The sequence below is a fragment of the Homo sapiens genome, chromosome 3, assembly GCF_000001405.40.
Source record: "Homo sapiens chromosome 3, GRCh38.p14 Primary Assembly".
Taxonomy (NCBI): Eukaryota; Metazoa; Chordata; class Mammalia; order Primates; family Hominidae; genus Homo; species Homo sapiens.
Genome location: NC_000003.12, coordinates 32,985,226 through 33,006,079, shown reverse-complemented (window position 1 = coordinate 33,006,079; position 20,854 = coordinate 32,985,226). Strand labels below are relative to the sequence as shown.

The window sequence follows — 20,854 nt, the reverse complement described above, 5'->3', positions numbered from 1 at the left end:
TCTCCTGTCAATATCCTATGCAGCCTTCAACATTTTGTGGTAGGTTTAGGTGCATGACAGAGCATGGTGTGAGTGGGATAGTGTCCATTTTTCCTTAACCAAAATTATGCTTTGAAGAGTCAAGAATCAAAATAGAATACTGATGAAAAGTAATTCTGTATTTTAAAGATAAATTGTCCCACCTTCAAGATGTAAAATAACTATGAAATAAAACAATGTATGATAAACGGTTGAAAGAAATTCCTTCTTTTAACTGTTTGTTGCATCTTGCTTTTGAAATTTCCTGGCCGACGCGATGGCTCACACCTGTAATCCTAGCCCTTTGGGAGACCGAGGTGGTAGGATCACTTGAGCTCAGGGGTTTGAGACCAGCCTAGGCAACTTAATAAGACCTCATCTCTACAAAAAAAATTTTTGAATTAGCTGGGCTTGGTGGCATGCACCTGTAGTCCCAGCTACTTGGTGGGAGATGGGAGGATTGCTTGAGCCCAGCAAATCAAGGCTGCACTGAGACATGATTATGCCAGAAAAGAGTATGTAAAACTTTTAAAACCTTATCAGTGTTAGTCACTTGGTCTCAATCCATTTGGAGAGACAGAGGTATAGAAAGAGCCCAAGAGGATTATAAGAGTCTGTAAGAGATATGTAAACCATGCAGTTGGGCCTTGGAGAGGAAGAAATTATAAGTGCTTAAGATTGCTGGGAAAGGTCTGGTCTTCCTAGTGGGAAGGATATTTTGTGCAGAGGGATTGATATTTTTCAAGGGAATAGTATAGTAAGAAATATATTTGGTCTTTGTCCCTGGTTCCAGGGCCCTAAAACCCTTGGAATTTTCTGAGTGGTAGGAGTGTCTTTTGTTATTCATAACTAGCCTCTTTCAATCCCACCTGGGTTTGTGCTAATGAGGCGACTTAGGATGGAGCCCCTAGATAACCATAGGATAGTTACAAGGGCATGATGGCACCTGCAGTCCCAGCTACTTGGTGAGAGGTGGGGGGATTGCTTCTCCTGACTTGCGTGCCCAAACTTCTCCTGGTTTTCTTCCCTCTCTTTGCTCCTTCTCAGGCTTCTCTGTCAGCTTCTATGTTGCAGTCCTCAGGACTTGGTCCTGGGCTCTCTTCTTACACTTTTGGGGATTGTCCTCACAGATGTGCTGGACATGCTTACATTTCCTTTTCCAGCTCAGCTCTTACAAGGCTCTGGAGCCCACCTTTGGGGGTCTCATAGGCACCTCCAGCCTGATAGGTATAAAACAGAACTCTCTCCCTGTTACCCCTGAAAGCTACTCTTCTGCTGGAGAAGTGGTCCAGAGAGAAGGAACAGAGCTGGACTTGAGTGTGGCAGTAGGGAGGGAGGGCGGTCCAGCTTCAGGAAATAGTAATAGTACCAGCCACATCTGAGAGCTTACCATGTGCTGGCTACAGTACTGAGTGCTCACAGGTGTCTTCTCACCCAGCTGTTCTCAGCAATCCTGAGAAAGGCACAGACATGGCTGAGGAAGCCCCAGTGGGATTTGGTGATTGATCAGTGAAAGTGGGACTGACTAAGTAGTGGATGGCTCTACTATTTTTAAATTGAGTTTTTAAACGTCACTCACTTTCCTGAAAAGTAGCATGCTTAGGCACCTTCTGACCATGGAGATGTGTATCAGTTAGCTTCTGCTGCATAACGAGCCACCCAAAACTTAGTGGATTAAAACGACAACAGTTTATTTAGTTCACGATTTTGAGTATTGGCAGACCAAGTAGTGGTTTTGCTGGTCTCAGCTGGGCATGACCACCTGGGTGTTAGCCATCTGTCAGCTGAGGCAACAGAGAAGATGAGACCATCTCTCTTTCATCATCCAGCAAGCTAGCCTAGGCTTGTTCACATGACTAGCAGGGTTCACACGACTGAGCAGGGTTCAAAGAAAGAATGCAAATGCGCAAGGCTCCTTAAGGCCAAAGTCAGGATTCACATGTCACTTCTTCCACGTTGTTTGGCCAAAATATGTCACTAGACCAGCCAGATCCAAGGAATGGAGAAACATGTTCTACCCCTTTTTTTTTTTGAAATGGAGTCTCACTCTGTTGCCCAAGCTGGAGTGCAGCGACACGATCTCAGCTCATTGCAACCTCCGCCTCCCAGGTTCAAGCGATTCTCCTGCCTCAGCCTCCTGAGTAGCTGGGATTACAGGTGCACACCACCATACCTGGCTGATTTTTGTATTTTTAGTAGAGATGGGGTTTCACCATGTAGGCCAGGCTGGTCTGGAACTCCTGACCTCAGGTGATCCACCCACCTTGGCCTCCCAAAGTGCTGGGATTACAGGAGTGAGCCACCATGCCCAGACAGATTCTACTTCTTGATAGAGGGACCCACTAATAATTGGGGCCATCTGTTCAATATCCCACAGGTCTTAACACTATTGGACCCTACTTTCATCCTAAATTTGATGTGCTTGTTAAACTTCTTTTTTGTCTAATTTGCAGTTATGCTTACCTCCTACAAGACCTACTATTTCCGTCTAATTCACTGTTTCCAGTTGCACAAGTCCCGTGAACTTTGAAACTAGACCATCAGACTACTCTCAACAAATATTATGTTAATTTAGCAACAAAACTTGTTAGAACTTTTGTAAATGGGTAAATAGGCTAGAAGTGAAAGAAGGTCTTCTTCAATTTTTAGGTTGTGAACTTTATAACAAATATGACATGAGGCAGTAGTTTTTGCTTATCAGTTCCTAGCTTGGTTCCAGATACGTGAGGTGGTTTGACGACTGTTGTTAGGTAAGCTATTGTATTAAAAAGGTCTAGCTATGGTGGAACTGTTGGAAGTTGAGAAGGAAAAAGAATTTTTATTTGGGATTTGATGAGAAGTGATTTATCTTTTATGCTGTTATTTTATGCATTTGATGGCTTCAGTTCTATTTGGACCTGTCCCAAAATATAGAGAAACCATAAAGTTATTTAATTTTATTACTTTAAGACTGAGGAGGAAGCAAAAAAGTGTGATTTGCGTCAGCTGCAGAGCCTTTTGGGGTTCTGAAGGAAGGGGAGAATTAATCTTCTGTGTATTTCATTGAGATCTATTTAACCTCTTATTTCTAAGCAAGCCTTGTAAGAGGCTTTTACCTTTTTTTCTTTTCAATTCTCCTCTTTTTCTTCTCTTTCTCCCAGGTAAGCATCACAGTGATTCATGAGTTCGGTGTGTGAGAGCCTTTAACCTTGGGAACTGGACCTTTGTCTTTCCCATTTTAAGTCCTGCAAGTGTCTAAATGTTTTCTTTCAGAGTGTGACAAAGGCAGCATTCACCCTGAGCTTATTGTTGCTTTTAAAGGAGCTCCCAAAAAATTTTGGAAAATTTTAAACTACAACTTAAAACAGTAGTGAGACCAGGCACAGAGGCTCACACCTGTAATCCCAACATTTTGGGAGGTGAAAGCAGGAGGATCACTTGAGGCCAGGAGTTTGAGACAAGCCTAGGCAACATAGTGAGATTCTATGTCTATTTTTAAAAATAGTTTTTAAGTTAGCTGGCCATGATGGCTAACAACAACACGTGCATACCTCCCCCCGATAGTTTCACACCTATAGTCCCAGCTCCTCAAGAGGCTGACACAGGAGGATCGCTTAAGCCCAAGAATTCGAGGCTGCAATGGACTATGATAGTGCAGCTGCAGTCTAGTCTGAATGACAGCGTGAGACCCTGCCTCATAAGGAAGGAAGGAAGGATGGAAGGAAGGAAGGAAGGGAGGGAGGGAGGGAGGGAGGGAGACTTTTGTTTTAAATTCCATTTATCCAGATAGTTTAAAACAGACAGACAAACACATGTATCTGTCTGATCAACAAAAAAGTAGGTCAGGCATTTCCAGGAACCTCACATTTATGAAACTATTATTATTGCCTTAGTGATTACAGCAAAGGGTGGAGAGTCTGCCAGGGTCAAGCCGTGGTCAGAGAAAGTCACTTTGTCATGGAACTATTTTAACTGAGACTGCCTTAGGAAGCCCCAGAAACCACTGCTTGGTCCCCATGGGGCTGACTTCATTAAGAGTGTATCTACTTTTAGATCATATTCAGCAACACGTGCATACCTCCCCACCAAAAATAATTGCAAAAGCATAACTTTTTAAGAGAAATAAAAATCAATGTATATATTTTTTAAATAGAATTTTTAAAGGTAAATTATATTAAAGTGTTTTTCATTGGTTCTAATCAAGGAGGGAAGGCAAATGTTTTTCTTTTAGTGAACAATATTCTTTAAAACTCTTAAACTGGGAGCAGAGGAACGTGAAGAATTCTTTCAGAAGGGCTTCATGTCACCTCTTCAACGAATCTTTTCTTGGCAGAATTATCAACAAGTAGCAGCAGCCATGAGTGCTACTAAGTGTATATTGAATATCACTCTCCTGCGTGCGGAGAATCTCGCCTCAAACAAAATGGACAAAGACTTTCCCTTCCTAGAGCCTGTGTTATAGCTGGAAATAGCTCATAAACTAGTCATCAAACAAAAGATATGAATTTCAAATCATGATAATAACTAGAAGAAAAAGAAAAAATGAAAGGATAGTGAGTGACTTGGAATGGAAAGCCCAGCATTAAGGAGGAGGGTCGTGGCCCTGCCTGAGTGATGAGAAGGCTTCAGGCTGAGGTGAGTAGTGTTTGCACATGGGGACGAGCTGATGCCCAAGCAAAACTAACTGAAAGTAATTGGGGAGCTGTGTGTGGTGATGCACATCTGAAGATCCAGCTTCTCGGGAAGCTGAGGCAGGAGGATCGCTTGAGGGCAGGAGTTTGAGGCTGTATTGTGCCTGTGAATAGCAACTGGAGTCCAACCTTGGCAATGTAGCAAGATGTAAGAGTGAGAGAGAGAGAGAGAAGAGAGAAGACAGGAAGGAGGAGAAGAGAAGAAGGAGAAGGAGAAGAGGAGAGGAGAAGAGAAGAGAGAAAGGAAGAACAAGAAGGAGAAGAAAGAGAAGGAAAGAACAAGAAGTAGTGGAGAGTGGAGTGAGCAAGGGGGAGTGCGGCAGACACAAGGAGGAAAGGAGGAAGGTATGGGCTGTGGACCACAGGAAGGAGGTTTGAAACAGGAATGTGTGAAAAGAATCCTATTTTCACTTTGGCAGCTATGCAGAGCCTAGATTCTAGAGTTAATAAAGTCAAGAGACTGTGAGGAGGCTGCAGCAGTCTAAGACAACATTGATTTATGACTTGCTCTGGAAGTCAGGCTGTGAGGATAGAGAGAAATGGAAGACTGATGGTCTAATAATGAAGTCACTAGGATCTCACCATACCTTAGCTCTGTAGTCCAGTGCAGTAGCTTCTTGTATAATATTGTTGGGTTTTTTCTGTTTGTTTTGTTGTTGTTTTTTTTAACTGAGTCTTGCTCTATCACCCAGGCTGGAGTGCAGTGGTGCAATCTCAGCTCACTGCAACCTCCACCTTCCAGGTTCAAGCGATTCCCCTGCCTCAGCCTCCTGAGTAGCTGGGATTACAGGCACCCACCACCATGCCTGGCTAATTTTTGTATTTTTAGTAGAGACAGGGTTTCACCATATTGACCAGGCTGGTCTCGAACTCCTGACCCCAAGTGATTTGCCCGCCTTGGCTTCCCAAAGTACTGGGATTGCAGGCATGAGCCACCACACCTGGCCTTGTATAATATTCTTTACAAGAACGTTCATTTTTAACCACATATGGTTAAGTTTAAATTAATTAAATGTGAAAATTCAATTCCTCCTTCACACTTTTTTAAAAAATAGCTACTCTTTATAGTATCACTAAAGTTGGACACATGCATATCCCATGACCCAGCAATTCCATTCCTAGCATTCCCCTCCTGTAAGAAACATGTGCATGGCCAGGCGAGGTGGCTCATGCCTGTAATCCCAGCACTTTTTGGGAGGCTGATGGGGGAGGATCACTTGAGACCAGGAGTTTGAGACCAGCCTGGGCAACATGGCGAAACCTCATCTCTAAAAAAGTACAAAAATTAGCCAGGCATGGTGGGGCATGCCCGTAGTCCCAGCTATGTGGGAGGCTAAGGTGGGAGGTTGACACTACAGTGAGTCGTGATGGTGCCACTGCATTCTAGCCTGGGTGTCTGGAGTGAGATCTTGCCTCAAAAAGGAAAAAAGAAAAAGAAAAAGGCCAGGCATGGTGGCTCACGCCTGTAATCCCAACACTTTGGGAGGCCGAGGTGGGCGGATCTCTTGAGGCCAGGAGTTGGAGACCAGCCTGGGCAACATGGCAAAACCCCATCTCTACCAAAAATACAAAAATGAGCTGGGCATGGTGGTGCACGCCTGTATTCCCAGCTACTCAGAAGGCGGAGGAACAAGAAGCTCTTGAACTTGGGAGGTGGAGGCGGAGGCTGCAGCGAGCCAGGATTGCACCACTGCACGATAACCTCCCCAGAGCAATGGCTGCTGCTTCTCTCCACCCTCCCAATCTCAAGCAAGGGCCTCTTCTGACCAACGCTAACCCAGAACCATCCAGGGAAGGGGATCCAGGGAAAACAATTCCCAGCTTACCTACCAGGTGCACAGTCCACCCGGCATGTGAGGGCCCATCTCTTGGATGCTTATGAAATGGAACTTGAGGTTTGAGAAAGGACCAAACCTCCACTTTGTTCACCTGCGATTTGGTCAAGAGTTGGCTTGGCCTGTGTCCTGACCATAGCATGAAGCCTGTGTGGTGCGTGCCATTCCTTGGCTGCTGCTCGTAATGCCCTCCCACTTCTCTGTCTTCCCCCTTGACCGCAAAAGTAAAGTGCTACTGTTCTCTAATACTGCAAAAACAAGGCACCGGCAGATTTTAAGCTGATAAAAACCTGCTAAAGCTGTCATTGTATATACCTTTTAGGATGGAATGAGATAACATATCCCAGGGTAAAAACAAGAGTGAAATAGTTCTGAGAACTGTGAAACTGTCGTCCTCTTTCTAAATGACTTAATCCAACAGACAGGTGGTTTTTAATCACGGACCCCCTTCTTTTGTAGGCATTGGAACACCAACATCTTTTCACTTTAATCATGTAAGGAGTGCTACCGCTTACAGGCCACACACTGTTCCTTCATCATCATTGTCCCCAATGACTGGTATGAAAAATTGAGTTGAGACCTGCCCAAGGTCAGACAGCTAGTAAGTGGCAGGACACAGATACGAACTCAGGTAGGAAATTCAGAAGGATCTAAAGTAAAGGGGACACTTGGAGGCTGAAAAATACCCAAACGTAAGAAGACTGAGGAGCCCTGGGGTGAGCAGCAGAGTTGTGTTGCAGAACGTGATGAGGATTAGGGCTCAGCAGGTGTCAGCCATGGCTGGGCCTCCTCCAGGCTGTCTCCTAGGATATCTGGGCCATTGTAGGTCACAGTTTCTTTCCTGCCTCCCTCCCTTCTTCCATTCCTCTTTCCTCTTCCTTCTCCCTTTATGTTTTCCTTTCTTCTCCCAGATTTTCTCTTTCTTTTGCGTGTATGTGATCTCCCCATCTTCACTTTCTTTCTTTGTAATAGAATGGTCCATCTATTCAGCCAGCTGTTGATCCTAGCCTTTGAGCTTTGAGCAAATCTTTTTTTTTTTTTTTTGAGACGGAGTCTTGCTCTGTCACTGCGCAAGGCTAGAGTGCAGTGGCGCAATCTCAGCTCACTGCAACCTCTGCCTCCCTGGGTTCAAGTGATTCTCTTGCCTCAGCCTCCTGAGTAACTGGGATTACAGGCATGTGCCACCACACCTGGCTAATTTTTGTATTTTTAGTAGAGACGGGGTTTCACCATGTTGGCCAGGCTGGTCTCGAACTCCTGACCTCAGGTGATCTGCCTGCCTTGGCCTCCCAAAGTTCTGGGATTACAGGCATGAGCCACTGCACTCAGCCCCTTTGAGCAAATTTTAGCACATACAGAGAGGCTGTGTAGACAGACCTAAACATGGTCCCTGTTTTTTAGGAGTTTATCCTCCACTTTCAGTTTTGTTATGGGAAGCAGCTTCCCCTACTCACAGAAATTGTTTATGCAACCTATAGCATCACCTCTGCTCCTGAACCAAACATGGAGTCCACACCCTAACTCTGAGGGTGCCTGTAAGAGTCCTTAGAACATAGCAGTAATATAGACACCCAACTGGATAAGCCTCTTCCTCTCCCTCACCCCAAACCCCCCTATCCCTCTTGAGGGGTTGTTTTGGGGACCACTCCTGGTACCTGTCTGACCTCAGGATGCAGGCCCTGGAGTCCTCTGTTCCCTGTGTTCACCAGGTGTACAGCAGATAGTGAGGTCAAGACCTGCCTCTGGGAAAGGAGAACAAAGAAGGAAAAGATCTATTTAAGGAAGCAGTTCAGCAGTTGTCTTCTGTGTACAGAAAAGTCAGGGAGAGGCTGGTCTGTGGGTACAGGCAGCACCTGGGAACCAGGATGAAATTCAGAAATTTCCACACTGTTCTCTGGTACCAACATCTGTGGCCACTGAAGCCCGTCAGAGGGACCAAACCTGTATTTTCCTGAAGCAGGAGTGGGTCTTTGGGGCAAGTTTTTGTTGCCCCAAAGAAGGTGGATGGGGGCATCCACCTTCTTCCCACCTTGGCCAGTTATCCCAGCAAGAAGCTAAAACCAAGGCTGGCATGGGCCTGGCTGTCAGCCTCGCCTTTCTGGGGGCATTTCTTTCCTCCATTGCTGCTGGCCTGCCCTACATCAGGGCCCCCACCTTCCTCAGGGCTTTCGGTGCATCTGGGGTTGATGGTTCTCTGTCTCTCTCTCTCCAGGGCCAGGTCTGGATTAATGGCTTTAACCTTGGCCGCTATTGGCCAGCCCGGGGCCCTCAGTTGACCTTGTTTGTGCCCCAGCACATCCTGATGACCTCGGCCCCAAACACCATCACCGTGCTGGAACTGGAGTGGGCACCCTGCAGCAGTGATGATCCAGAACTATGTGCTGTGACGTTCGTGGACAGGCCAGTTATTGGCTCATCTGTGACCTACGATCATCCCTCCAAACCTGTTGAAAAAAGACTCATGCCCCCACCCCCGCAAAAAAACAAAGATTCATGGCTGGACCATGTATGATGATGAAAGCCTGTGTCTTTGAGGGATTCTACCCTGAACATACCTCACAGATCCTCCCTGTCATGCCACATTTCACTGATTGGAATGTGGAAATGGAAAAGGAATTTAGGATGTGCATTTTCACCTGAGGTTTCCCTGCATCCCTGCAGTGCCAAAGCCCCACCTTCAGGGACCACCTGGAATGTGTGAGGGGCTGACAGCACAGTAACGTGCATACATATCTGCAGGGCTGGAATGGAAGCTTTAAAGGTGGTAGTGATTTTTATTTTGGAAGAATCATGTTACCTTTTTGTTAAATAAAATTTGTACTCAAATGATGATGTCACTGTTTTTAATGTGCAGGTATTGAATTATATGGTCTGACTTAAATCATAACTAGACTTGAGTGGGCTGAATAAACCACTTCACTAACTTGAAGTTCAAAAGGATGGAAAATAGTCTTGGTTTGATCTGTGGACTGCTGCTTTTCTGATCGTTATTTGACTTGCTTTTGGACTAGATAACCTATAAATACAGCTCAAAACAATTATGCAAACAATCTAAATGATTAACAGTTGCACAGTGTACATAGTATGGTATATCTATATAGAAGCATAGTATTTTAGCCACTAAAATGGTGAGAGATCTATACTTATATGCAAATTTTTTGATACATGAAAAAACAGATTACCTTAAATTGGATCCCGTTTTGTGTGTTTCAACATAAGAACTTCACATATTCACACAGTACAGGCCTATACACATGTCAGTAGTCAGGCATGCACGTGTGTGTGTGCTGTGTATGTGCACAGATAGGAAAGGATGTGGTGTTTCTGATATTCCTGTCCTGACATGGAGCAGTAGCTCTCATTTGTTGAGGACTTGTTCTACACCATGCACAGTTCTGAGTTTATGTTTAACTCACTTGCCCCTCACAAGAACACTGAGGAATATACTGTCATCCTGCCGGTTTACCAGATCTCACAGATGTATGTGGCGAGACAGGGTTTGAGCCCAGGTAGTCTGGCTCTAGTGTCCGGGTACACATTGCATACATAAATATTAATACATGCTTGTGTTGCACAAGAAAGGTTAGGAATAACTTAAAAATGTTCATATACTTATATCTGGATGCTAAGTATTTGAGAGATTGCTTGCTTTTTCTTATCTGTATTTTTAATTATATACTGGGAATATGTAATTTTTTTTTTTTTTTTTTTTGAGGCTGGGTCTTGCTCTGTTGCCCAGGCTGAAGTGCAATGGCATGATTGTAGCTCATTGCAGCCTTGAATTCCTGGCTTCAAGTGATCTTCCTACCTTGACCTCCCAAAGTTCTGGGATTACAGTTATGAACCACTGCACCCGGCCCTGTAGTTTTGTTTTGTTTTTAAGGAGGGAGAAAGGAAAGTTTTTTTATGTCAATCTGTAATGTTTTCTTGGTGGTATATTTTTCCCTCTGTCATAGGCACAACTAATAAATATCTGAGATTGAACAGTGAGTCTTTAAACACAGGTTGAGCCAGCTGCAAGTGGCATAGATGAGCCGAAACAAACACTGGAACTTAGTTAAGGACGTTTTTCCATAGTACCTTTTTCTAGATGTTCTGCACCATTTGATGTTTGGGCAGATCACAGGGCGAAGGAGGTGCTACATGGACTCATACCCTCATTTCATTACTCCTCCACTGCACAGTTACCAAAAACATAAAATGATACTCAAGAACCATGGCCAAACAGTGATAAGCTTTGGAAAGAAATGTGAAATGACTCCTTTTAAAGCATATGTACATTGGTGAATTGCAGTTCCCCTGCCCTAGAGACAAGCAGAGAATCTCCAGAAGGCACGAGCAGTGGAGTGTGGTTGCCTCATCAGCGTGTACACTTGCCTTATATTTCACTCATTCAGTCTTCAGAACTACACTGTAAGGTCAAATAGCAATAAGTCCATTTTACAATTGAAAATATTTAAAACTTTGGCAAGAGGCAGAGTTGATTTCAAACCTGGCCTACCTCCCTCCAAAGCCAGAGTGTTTTGTCTTATCAATGTGAGGGAATTTGGATGGGTTTTCCCACCTACAGCACTCTGCCACCCCTTACCCAGGAAGTTTTTGGAAAACAGAATCTTTTTTTTTTTTTTTTTTTTTTGAAACAGAGTCTTGCTCTGTCACCCAGGCTGGAGTGCAGTGGCATGATCTTGGCTCACTGCAAACTTTGCCTCCTGGGTTCAAGCGATTCTCCTGCCTCAGCCTCCAGAGTAGCTGGGATTACAGGCGTGCATCACCATGCCCAGCTAATTTTTGTATTTTTAGCAGAGACGGGGTTTTGCCGTGTTGGTCAGGCTGGTCTCAAACTCCTGACCTCAGGTTATCCACCCACCTGGGCCTCCCAAATCGCCGGGATTACAGGCATGAGCCACTGCGCCTGGCCAGAAAACAGAATCTTAATACATAGATAGTGCCACCTGGACTCTGGACTCCCCTCAACCCATCCAACTCTACACTGCCTCTCATGGGCACACATTTTGCCTGCTACAATGTTCTTCCTAAAATAAGATGTGCCTTCAGTCATTCTTGATTTCTCTCAATAACCTTATTTCAGATCTGTCCACGAATTGATTGAAAATGCAACTCTCTCTATGGATGCTACCTTTGGAAAATAATAAGGGGAGTACTTTTATTACCTACTATCTAAACCTTTTATATTAAATTTATCTTTCAGCCACCGTGCCCGGCCTCACAATGTAGTCATTTGTGTCTGATCTCTCTCAGCATACCGTGAGGTTTGTTCCATGTTGTAGCATGTTCAGGAATGTGTTCCTGTGTGTTGCTGAGTCGCATTCCATTGTATGGATGTACCACATTTTGTTTATCCATTTGCCAGCTGATGGGTACTTGAATGGTTTCCAGTTTTGACTATTATGAAGAATGCTGATATGAACATCCATATACAGTTATTTGTGTAGTCATCCGTTTTCATTTCTCTTGGATAGATACCCATGAGAGGGATTGTTTAGTCATATAGTAATTTATATTGAACTGTTTAAGGAACTGTTAAACAATTTCAGAATATCTTTTTTGAAGATAGTGAATAATGAAGAGGAGGCAGAATTACCCTTAGACCTGTAATCCCAGCACTTTGGGAGGCCGAGGTGGGTGGATGGCTTGAGCCCAGGAATTCGAGACTAGGCTGGGCAATATGGCAAGACCTCATCTCTACTAAAAATACAAAAATTAGGCCAGGTGCGGTGACTCACACCTGCAATCCAAGCACTTTGGGCTGAGGCAGGTGGATCACCTGAGGTCAGGAGTTCGAGACCAGCCTGGCCAACATGGTGAAACCCCATCTCTACTAAAAAATACAAAAATTAGCCGGGCATGGTGGCAGGCACCTGTAATCCCAGCTACTCAGGAGGCTGAGGCAGGGGAATTGCCTGAAAGCGGGAGGCGGAGGCTGCAGTGAGCCGAGATTGCGCCACTGTACTCCAGCCCGGGTGACAAGAGTGAGACACCGTCTCAAAAAAAAAAAAAAAAAAAAAAAAAAAAATTAGCTGGATGTGGTGGTGCATGCCTGTAGTCCTAGCTACTCAAGAGGCTGAGGTAGGAGGATCACTTGAGCCTGGGAGGCAGAGGTTGCAGTGAGCTGAGATCACACCACTGCACTCTAGCCTGGGTGGCAGGGCCAGACCCTGTCTCAAAAAAGAAAGAATCACACTTAGAATTTGCAGATTTATCATCCCTCCTGTCCTCTCTCTTCCCTTCTCCACCTTACACTACCTACTTTCTTTATCTGTCATTGTCAGTCTGTTTATCTTTGTTTCTCAGCAAATCCAGTTTATTCAGAATGAAATTGTTTAATGCTAATCCGAGGTGGGGTTTTTTTTCATTGTTTCCCCAACAAGAAATATGTCTTCTGTCAAATGACACAAATAGGAAATGATCTCATGTGGTCTTTATTTCTCTCCTTTATGAAAAAGAAGTCATTTTCTGAAATCACCTTTTTAGTCAGTCTGAGGGATCCTGACTGGTCTGTGGTAGCACACACAGCTGGTGTGGACCATCAGCACATGGGCTGCAAGGAAAATCGCCCCGATGTCCAGACAGTGGGGCCAGGTGGTTTCTGGGTTTTGGCCTAGCCCCTGCTCTTGGTCTGACTGAGCAATACTTCCCCAGATGTCCCTTGCCCTTCAGCCCACTGGCCCTGACCTTTGTTAGAAGTGGATGCCCAGCAGCTTTCTGGTTGTCTGTGAATGCCCGGTGAAGATTCTGAACTGATTCCTCACCAGACAGTTGCTCTGTTTGCACCACAAGGGGCTTTCCCACGTGTGAGCAGGCCTCCCACCAGCTTCATTCCTCCAAACTCCCAAACCAGCAGCACTGTCTCCTAAGATACAACAGGACAGGCTTTGAGGACAGAAACCCAGGGTCACGTTCCTGCTCCATCACTTTCCATCAGCATGGTCTCGGGCAAGGGAATCGTGTAAGTCTAAATTTCTTATTCTCCTAAATGTGGTGGCCACCTTGTGGGGTTTTAAAATTAAATGAGGTCATCATAAAAGTACCTTGTATAGCATTTGCCATGTAGTAGCTGCTTACTAAATGCTAGTTTGAGTCTTTCCTATCATATTCCACCACAGAAGCAGGTAACTGATCATCTGGAAACCTGGGGGACAAGAGGGAAGAAATGACACCTAGGATGCTCCATCCTTTCCCTGCATCCCTTTGTGTTCAGTTCAACAACTTGGTTCTCCTCCTGACCAGCCACTGTGCTTGGCTGAGGACACAAAGGTGAAGGAGACAGTCTAGTATAAAACATGACACAGACCAGACCCAAAGGGGAGGAAGAGGTCCTGTAGAAAGGTGAAGGGGCATCATTCACCAAGCCTCTCCAGCATTAACCAGAGACTGCTGGAGGGCAGCGTGAGCCTACGGAAAAGACTCGACATCCAGGGTTTGGACTTAAAGGCCCTAGTGTGGACTTCTTCAGTGCTCTGATTCCTTGAAGATTCTGTTGGCTTGTTCTCAAAACGTAAGCAACTTTCCAGTGCCAACATATTGAATTCCTTGCCCACGGGGCATTTCTCATCATCATGGGTTGCAATGTGTGCTGTTGTCTGTTGCTGCATAATAAACCAGTAAGTCTGCTTAAGTGGCATGAAGCAACTATTTTGTTATGCACACGATTCTATGGATCAGGAATTTGGACAGCCCAGCAAGGATGGCTTGTCTTTGTTCTGTGACGTTGGGGCTTCTGCTGGGTACCAGAACCATCTGGCAATTCCTTCACTCACTTGCCTGCTATTTGGGCCAGGATGACTTGAAGTTTAAGGCCACTTAGGACAGTCAACAGAGCATCTACAAGTGGTCTTTCCATGTGACTCAGGCTTCTTATAACACAGTAGCTGGGTTCTGATGGCATGTTCCAGAAGGGAGCTTCCAGAGAGTGAACATTGCAACAGAAGCAGGTGGAAGCTGCATGGCCATTTAAGGCCTAGATGCAGAAGTCACATAGCATCAGTCCACTGTACTCTACTGGTCAAAGTAGTCATAACCCAGATTCAAGGGGAGGAAACACAGATCCCCATCCTTGGATGGGAGAAATGACAAAGAATGTGTGGCCATTTTTAAGAAATCATCACATGTGCACCCAGTGCTATGTTGTAGCACACTCCAATTTGTGTATTTCCATCCATTTCACTAAAGGTCTGAAAGCCCAGCAAGCATGAATTGAGGTCCAAGGCCCCACTGGTAAGGAGCAGGAGGCCATTGGCTAAGTGGTTCATTTAGCCTGTGTTTAGTGAATTGGATCCCTTTGTCTCTTTTTGCAAATTGCCAGGCCCCGGTGGTCTCACCAGATATTAACTGAGGGGAATTAACTGGACACAGGCAGGAAATCCACTGTGTGAACCCCCCACCAGTCAGAGTTTATGGAGGTATGAGATGATGGGCACTGCACACAAAGCTCAATGTGGTTTCTGTTTCTTTGGGTGAAATCTTTTGATACGATTTCTGATCAAGAGGTGCAGTCTGTCCAATTTACTTCAACTTTCTTTAATTTTTACTAAGCAATACGATTATTATTATTATTATTATTTTTAGACAGAGTCTCACTCTGTCGCCCAGGCTGGAGTGCAGTGGCGTGATCTCTGCTCACTGCAAGCTCCACCTCCCGGGTTCACGCCATTCTCCTGCCTCAGCCTCCCGAGTAGCTGGGACTACAGGCACCCGCCACCACGCCCAGCTAATTTTTTGTATTTTTTAGTAGAGACGGGGTTTCACCGTGTTAGCCAGGATGGTCTCGATCTCCTGACCTCGTGATCTGCCCGCCTCGGCCTTCCAAAGTGCTGGGATTACAGGCGTGAGCCACCGCGCCCGACTGCAATAGGATCTTTTTACCAGAGTGCTTTGGCTGTCGTGGACCACCTGACCTCTTTTCTGGGGACTTTGAAATCAGGAAGTGTCCCAAGAAGTGCCCAGTGAGGAGTCCCCAAGGTTTCAGGGTGTATCCCTTCTAGTGTGATGGATAAGCCCCTCAGCATTTAACTATTTTAGTAGGTGGGTTTGTTTTGTTTTGTTTTTTTCATTTACCCAATAGACATTCATTCAATACTTACTCTAAACCCCATGCCACTGTGTAGGACACATTTCTTGCCCCTCAGGGAGCGCACAGATCTATTAATGAACCATGTAGCTTGTGAGGGGTAGACAATGACAGCGATGAGATCAGAGTGCTGTGAGCATGCTGAATCCAGTCTTAGACTTGATGTGGAGCAGAGACTGGTCAGGGCAGGCTTCCTGGAGTTGAGCCAGGTGAAGAATAAGAGAAGAAGGAGAAAAGATAGGCATGAGTAGAGCAGAAAGTGCTTCTCAGAGGGAGGCAGCATCTGCAGAGATCCAGGGTCTGGAGAGACAATGGAGAATTCCAGAAATTGGTGGCATGTACCTCAATCTGACTGGGGTTGGAATGAACAGAGATGAGGCAGGAGAGATGCAGGGATCAGAGCTATCTCCAACCAGATGGTAGTATCCTGAAAAATTGGTTATTTTCACATATCTTTTGTCCTCTGAAGTTTCTAGGTTCATGTCTTCAACTTTGATGGTGCTTAATAAGAATAATAACATTCATAAAGTGGTTTTAATGTGTTATTTTTGCATACAGTATTTCATTCAGTCTTTATAAGAACCTTTTGAAGAAATAGGGCGGGTGGCATGCAGCTCAGTTTACAGTTTAGGAAAATCAAGAGGTAGGAAGAATTGTGATTTACACAAAATCAGGGGCCTGAAACTCACACCCAAGTCTCTTGCCTCCAAATCCCACACTCTTCTTACTATGCAGATTGCCTTGATTGAGCTGCAAGGAGAAAGTTTTGTATTGTATTTGAGAAAACTCACAACACAGAAGAACAATATTTCAGCCTTGTCTGACATGACAGATCAGGTCTGAGCTGTGGCCCCAGGTTTTGGTGATTGACCCATGAGTCTTGTGTGTGTCTCTGGTGAGCAGAATGCCCGGTATATGTGGGTCCCCAGTGGATACAGGTCAGGGAGCAAGCAATCCTCCACACTGGAAGATGACTTATTCACAAGGCTGGGCATCCCTCTCAGACAAAACCCACTATCATATCTCTTCTGGTTTAATTCATGTTTTGACACTCAGCAAATTCCCCAGGAACTTAGCTGAAGAGTTTCGTGAGCCGGAAGTGCCTCTGAAAGAAGTGAGCAGAGAGAAGGTACGTGGAACTTTATTCATAGTTGAGCAGGCAAATGATGACTCTCGGTTTTTCTCTGGAGGGGAGCTCTTCCTTGAGGTGAAACGGGCTGAGGAGACATGAGAGAGGGCAGAGAAGCACCACAGACTGACATCAACCTGAGGCCTTCTGATGCTAAGAACATCACAACTTCCCTGGTGGGCAACTGGGTTCATCTGTCCACTGTCTGCCATGATCGGCAGATATCAAGAAGCCATTTGCAAAGTCCAAAGGACAAATATGGTAAAATACTCAAGAAACTCTCTGAAGAGTTTATTTGTAGTGGACCAGAGGTCACTGTGCTGCTGCCAGCACCCCACCCCCACCCCAGTGATCTTGATAAGTCTTTCATGGTTTTGTACCCTAAAATTGTGATTACCTGGAACCAAACCTTACCATGCCAAGGGCTTCCACTAGATGGGATTTTTGCAGTACTAAATATCTACAAGAAAAAAAGAGCTTGTAGAAAAAAAAAACAGGAAAAAACAGTTGTTAGGTGGAGGACTAGTTTTATCTAGCTTTCTATTAAAAGCTTCTGTGATTGCCTGATAGGCTGATAACAGGAAGATATTGTTGAAATACATATTCCAGATCCTGTCCTGAAGTCACTGCAGATTCATCTCAGTTCACTGCAAACTCTACAAAAGCCAACCTGGTAAAAGATGGAATTCTGATTGTTCAGGAAACAGAAGTGGAGGACAGAGTAAAAAGACTGAGATTAACTGTCTGGTTTTCTTTCCACTCTGGGCACCAGAATTTTGCCTCTTAATAGCTAGGAAGGAGCCACCCATCTCAAGAATTCAGATAGAGCAATGCTTTTGAAAGCAACCAACTCTTCACTCTGATATAAAACGTCAGTGCCCATGTTATCTGAATAGTAACATATGTAGAATGTGAATACCATACAGCAGGTGTGAACTGAACTTTCAGTCCCTCCTCACTGAGCAGGACACTTCAACAACACGTTGGTCCCAACTCTTCCTCTTTCTCTTAGTGACCAATTTTGCCATTTTCTGCTCCCATGTTTTTTATACACTGAAATTTCCCCTTCTTCATTTCAGTGAGCCTATCACTTAAGTCCTTGGTCTTTGCACCTTAAAAGTCTCTAAGATCCTTTTTTTTTTTTTTTTTTTTTTGAGATGGAGTCTTGCTCTGTCACCCAGGCTGTAGTGCAATGACGTAATCTTGGCTCACTGCAACCTCTGCCTCCTGGGTTCAAGCAATTCTCCTGCCTTAGCCTCTCAAGTAGCTGGGACACAGGCATGCACCACCACACCCAGCTAATTGTGTTGTATTTTTTAGTACAGATGGGGTTTCACCATGTTAGTCAGGTGGTCTCAAACTCCTGACCTCAAATGATTCACCTGCCTCAGCCTCCCAAAATCCTGGGATTACAGGCATGAGCCACCGTACCCAGCCTCTAAGATCCATTCTTTATGGAAATGTTATTAAGCTCCAATATTCTCTGCAAAAATGCTTGTAGCCTGCATCTCTTTGTTAAATCCAGGACAACTTTCACTCATTCATTCATTCAACTATTAAGGTGTACCTAATACATGCTGGGCATTGAGAATAAAATGATAACCACTTTATCACCCCATCTCTCAGTCTCTTTTTAAAAGAGTATTGAGATACTATCAATAGCAATAATAATAAAAACATGACCTATGCCTTCAAAAGGTTTAGTTAGTAGAAGAGATAAGTAAATAGACAGTTCAATGCAGTCTCATGGGCACCATAGTGAGAGACAGTACAGAGTGGCAGAGCAGCAGAAGAGGGGTTCACAATCCAGGCCTGGGCAGCCAGGCATTCTGTCTTACTGCAGAGCCAAAGACAGGGCTTTGTGTGCACGTGGTTTACAGAGGGGATGCTCTAAGGAGAAAGGAAGTGAGGGAAGGGTGCAGGGCAAGAGAGTAAAGGTAAGCAAGGAGACTACTTTCAGCTTAAACCAACTGTTTAGTTCATGATTCTGCTATATGGTTCTTCTGGTCTGGAACAGGCTCCACTGATGTTGGCTTGGCTCCCTCATGTATCTAGCCTAGGTCAGATCAGGCTGCTAGTTCCAGAGAAACTCACACACATTAATTTCACCACAAAATTGGATGCACCTTGAGTCAAGAGGGCCAGTCTTTTAACCTTCCATCCGTGTCAGCCAGCCATTGGCCGCAGGCTGCCACTGGTGGGAGGGGAGGACTAGTTGTACTGTGGGGAGGTAGTAGGGAATTGGCCATAAAAAAAGAGAAGAGGGCATCTGTGAGCTGTTAGCAGCCAACGCTCATGGTAGCTGGGGACTGGGTACACCAGTCCATAAAGGAAAGTTGGGTGGGCATCATCAGCATCTGCTGTCGGTCTCTAAACTGAGACTTGAGTGATGAGCAATAGTTGGTCAGGTGAACAGTAGGGGAAGAGTATTCCAGGTTAAAGAAATAGTCTATTGCAGCAGTGGCTCATGGCTGTAATCCCAGCAGTTTGGGAGGCGAAGGCGAGTGGATCATCTGAGGTCAGGAATTCATGACCAGCCTGACCAACATGGTGAAACCCTGTCTCTACTAAAAACACGAAAATTAGCTGGGTGTGGTGGCACACACCTGTAATCCCAGCTACTTGGGAGGCTGAGGCAGGAGTGTCACGTGAACCCGGGAGGCAGAGGTTGCAGTGAGCCGAGATCATGCCACTGTACTCCAGCCTGGGAGACAGAGCGAGACTCCATCTCAAAAAAAAAAAAAAGAGAAACAGTCTATGTAGATGGCCAGAACTAAGAGAGAGAAAGACCATTCACGGCGACATAGGTGACGGGGATGGGCAGTGTTGAGAACACATGGGGCTGCAATAATATCAGGGAGCTCAATGTGAAGGGTCTTGTATGATTGTGTAAGAAGGAAAATATTTTTGAAGTATTTGCCCAATATTTCTGTGTTAGTCAATATAAGCTAAGTTATGTTACATAACAAGCAACACCCAAACCTTAGTAGCTTACAACAAAAAGATTTATTTCTTATCCTTACTACATGTCCTTTGCCAATCAATTTTGGGGTCTCTATTGCCCAGTGTTTTCATTCTGGGACCCAATCCATAAAGGAAATTTGGATGGGCATCAGCAGCATCTGCTACAGGTCTCCAAACTGAGACCTGAACGATGAGCAGGAGCAGCCGACAGAGCAGCTACCGCCTGAGGCGCTGCTTCCATAATTGCCAAAGCAGGCAAAAGGGAACATGGAAAATCACACACTAACTTAAAGCTCCACTTGCAAGTGATAACAGAAAAACAAACACATTTTAATTTTTAAAGCATCATTAAAAATAGAGAGTTGTCCAGGTGCGGTGGCTCACACCTGTAATCCCAGCACTTTGGGAGGAAAATGCAGCTGGATCACCTGAGGTCAGGAGTTCAAGACCAGCCTGGCCAACATGGGGAAACCCTGTCTCTAATAAAAAATATAAAAATTAGCCAGACATGGTGTTGCATGCCTGTAGTCCCAGCCCAGCTACTTGGGAGGCTGAGGTATGACAATCGCTTGAAGCCGGGAGGTGGAGGTTGCAGTGAGCTGAAATCATGCCACTGCACTGAAATCTGCGTAACAGAGTGAGACTCCATCTCAAAAAATATATATAGACAGAGTTATCACAAAAGTGATAGAATTCCAATTTATCAAGAAGACGCATCAATACTAAACACACATATGCATAAAATAAAATATATATAAAGGTACATCATAAAATTAAAAACATAGGCCGGGCATAGTAGCTAACACCTGTAATCCTAGCCCTTTGGGAGGCCAAAGCGGGCAGATCACTTGAGGTCTGGAGTTCGAGACCAGCCTGACCCACATGGTGACACCCTGTCTCTACTAAAAGTCCAAAAAATTAGCTGGGAGTGGTGACAGGCACCTGTAATCCCAGCTACTTGGGAGGCTAAGGCAGGAGAATCGCTTGAACCCGGGAGGCAGAGGTTGCAATGAGTTGAGATTGCACCACTACACTCCAGCCTGGGCGACAGAGCGAGACTCCATCTCAAAAAATAATAATAATAAAAATATAAAGTTACAACAATTCTAAACATGCAGATGCATAAAATAAAATATATGAAGAAAATTTA

The 20,854-nt window shown here is 44.8% G+C and overlaps 1 protein-coding gene and 1 long non-coding RNA gene across 6 annotated transcripts in view, besides 2 other annotated features; both read left to right on the top strand.

The window, feature by feature from the left end:
- Nucleotides 1-20,854, top strand: part of GLB1 (galactosidase beta 1) — a 136,039-nt gene that overhangs the window by 91,067 nt on the left and 24,118 nt on the right. For 4 of the 5 annotated variants that reach the window (NM_001135602.3, NM_000404.4, NM_001317040.2 and 1 more), the window contains one exon: nt 8,736-9,463. The exons of the other annotated variant lie outside the window; for it this stretch is intronic. In NM_001135602.3, coding sequence (NP_001129074.2) covers nt 8,736-9,035 — 300 coding nt within the window. In that variant the 3' untranslated portion in view covers nt 9,036-9,463. Of the gene's footprint in view, nt 1-8,735; nt 9,464-20,854 lie in introns of those variants that run through there. 5 annotated transcript variants of the gene reach the window in all.
- Nucleotides 8,144-8,643: an enhancer, noted in NCBI's record as "H3K27ac hESC enhancer chr3:33038929-33039428 (GRCh37/hg19 assembly coordinates)". NCBI's record gives its function as "activates a minimal SCP1, AML or CMV promoter by ChIP-STARR-seq in naive H9 embryonic stem cells {active_cell/tissue: H9 hESC(naive)}" and the evidence as "EXISTENCE:reporter gene assay evidence [ECO:0000049][PMID:30033119]".
- Nucleotides 13,174-13,293: an enhancer, noted in NCBI's record as "active region_19640". NCBI's record gives its function as "activates an Ori minimal core promoter by ATAC-STARR-seq in GM12878 lymphoblastoid cells {active_cell/tissue: GM12878}" and the evidence as "EXISTENCE:reporter gene assay evidence [ECO:0000049][PMID:35858748]".
- On the top strand, nt 13,397-14,159 carry LOC107986072 (uncharacterized). The gene is made up of 2 exons (XR_001740633.2): nt 13,397-13,490; nt 13,648-14,159. It is a non-coding gene; the product is annotated as an uncharacterized LOC107986072 (long non-coding RNA).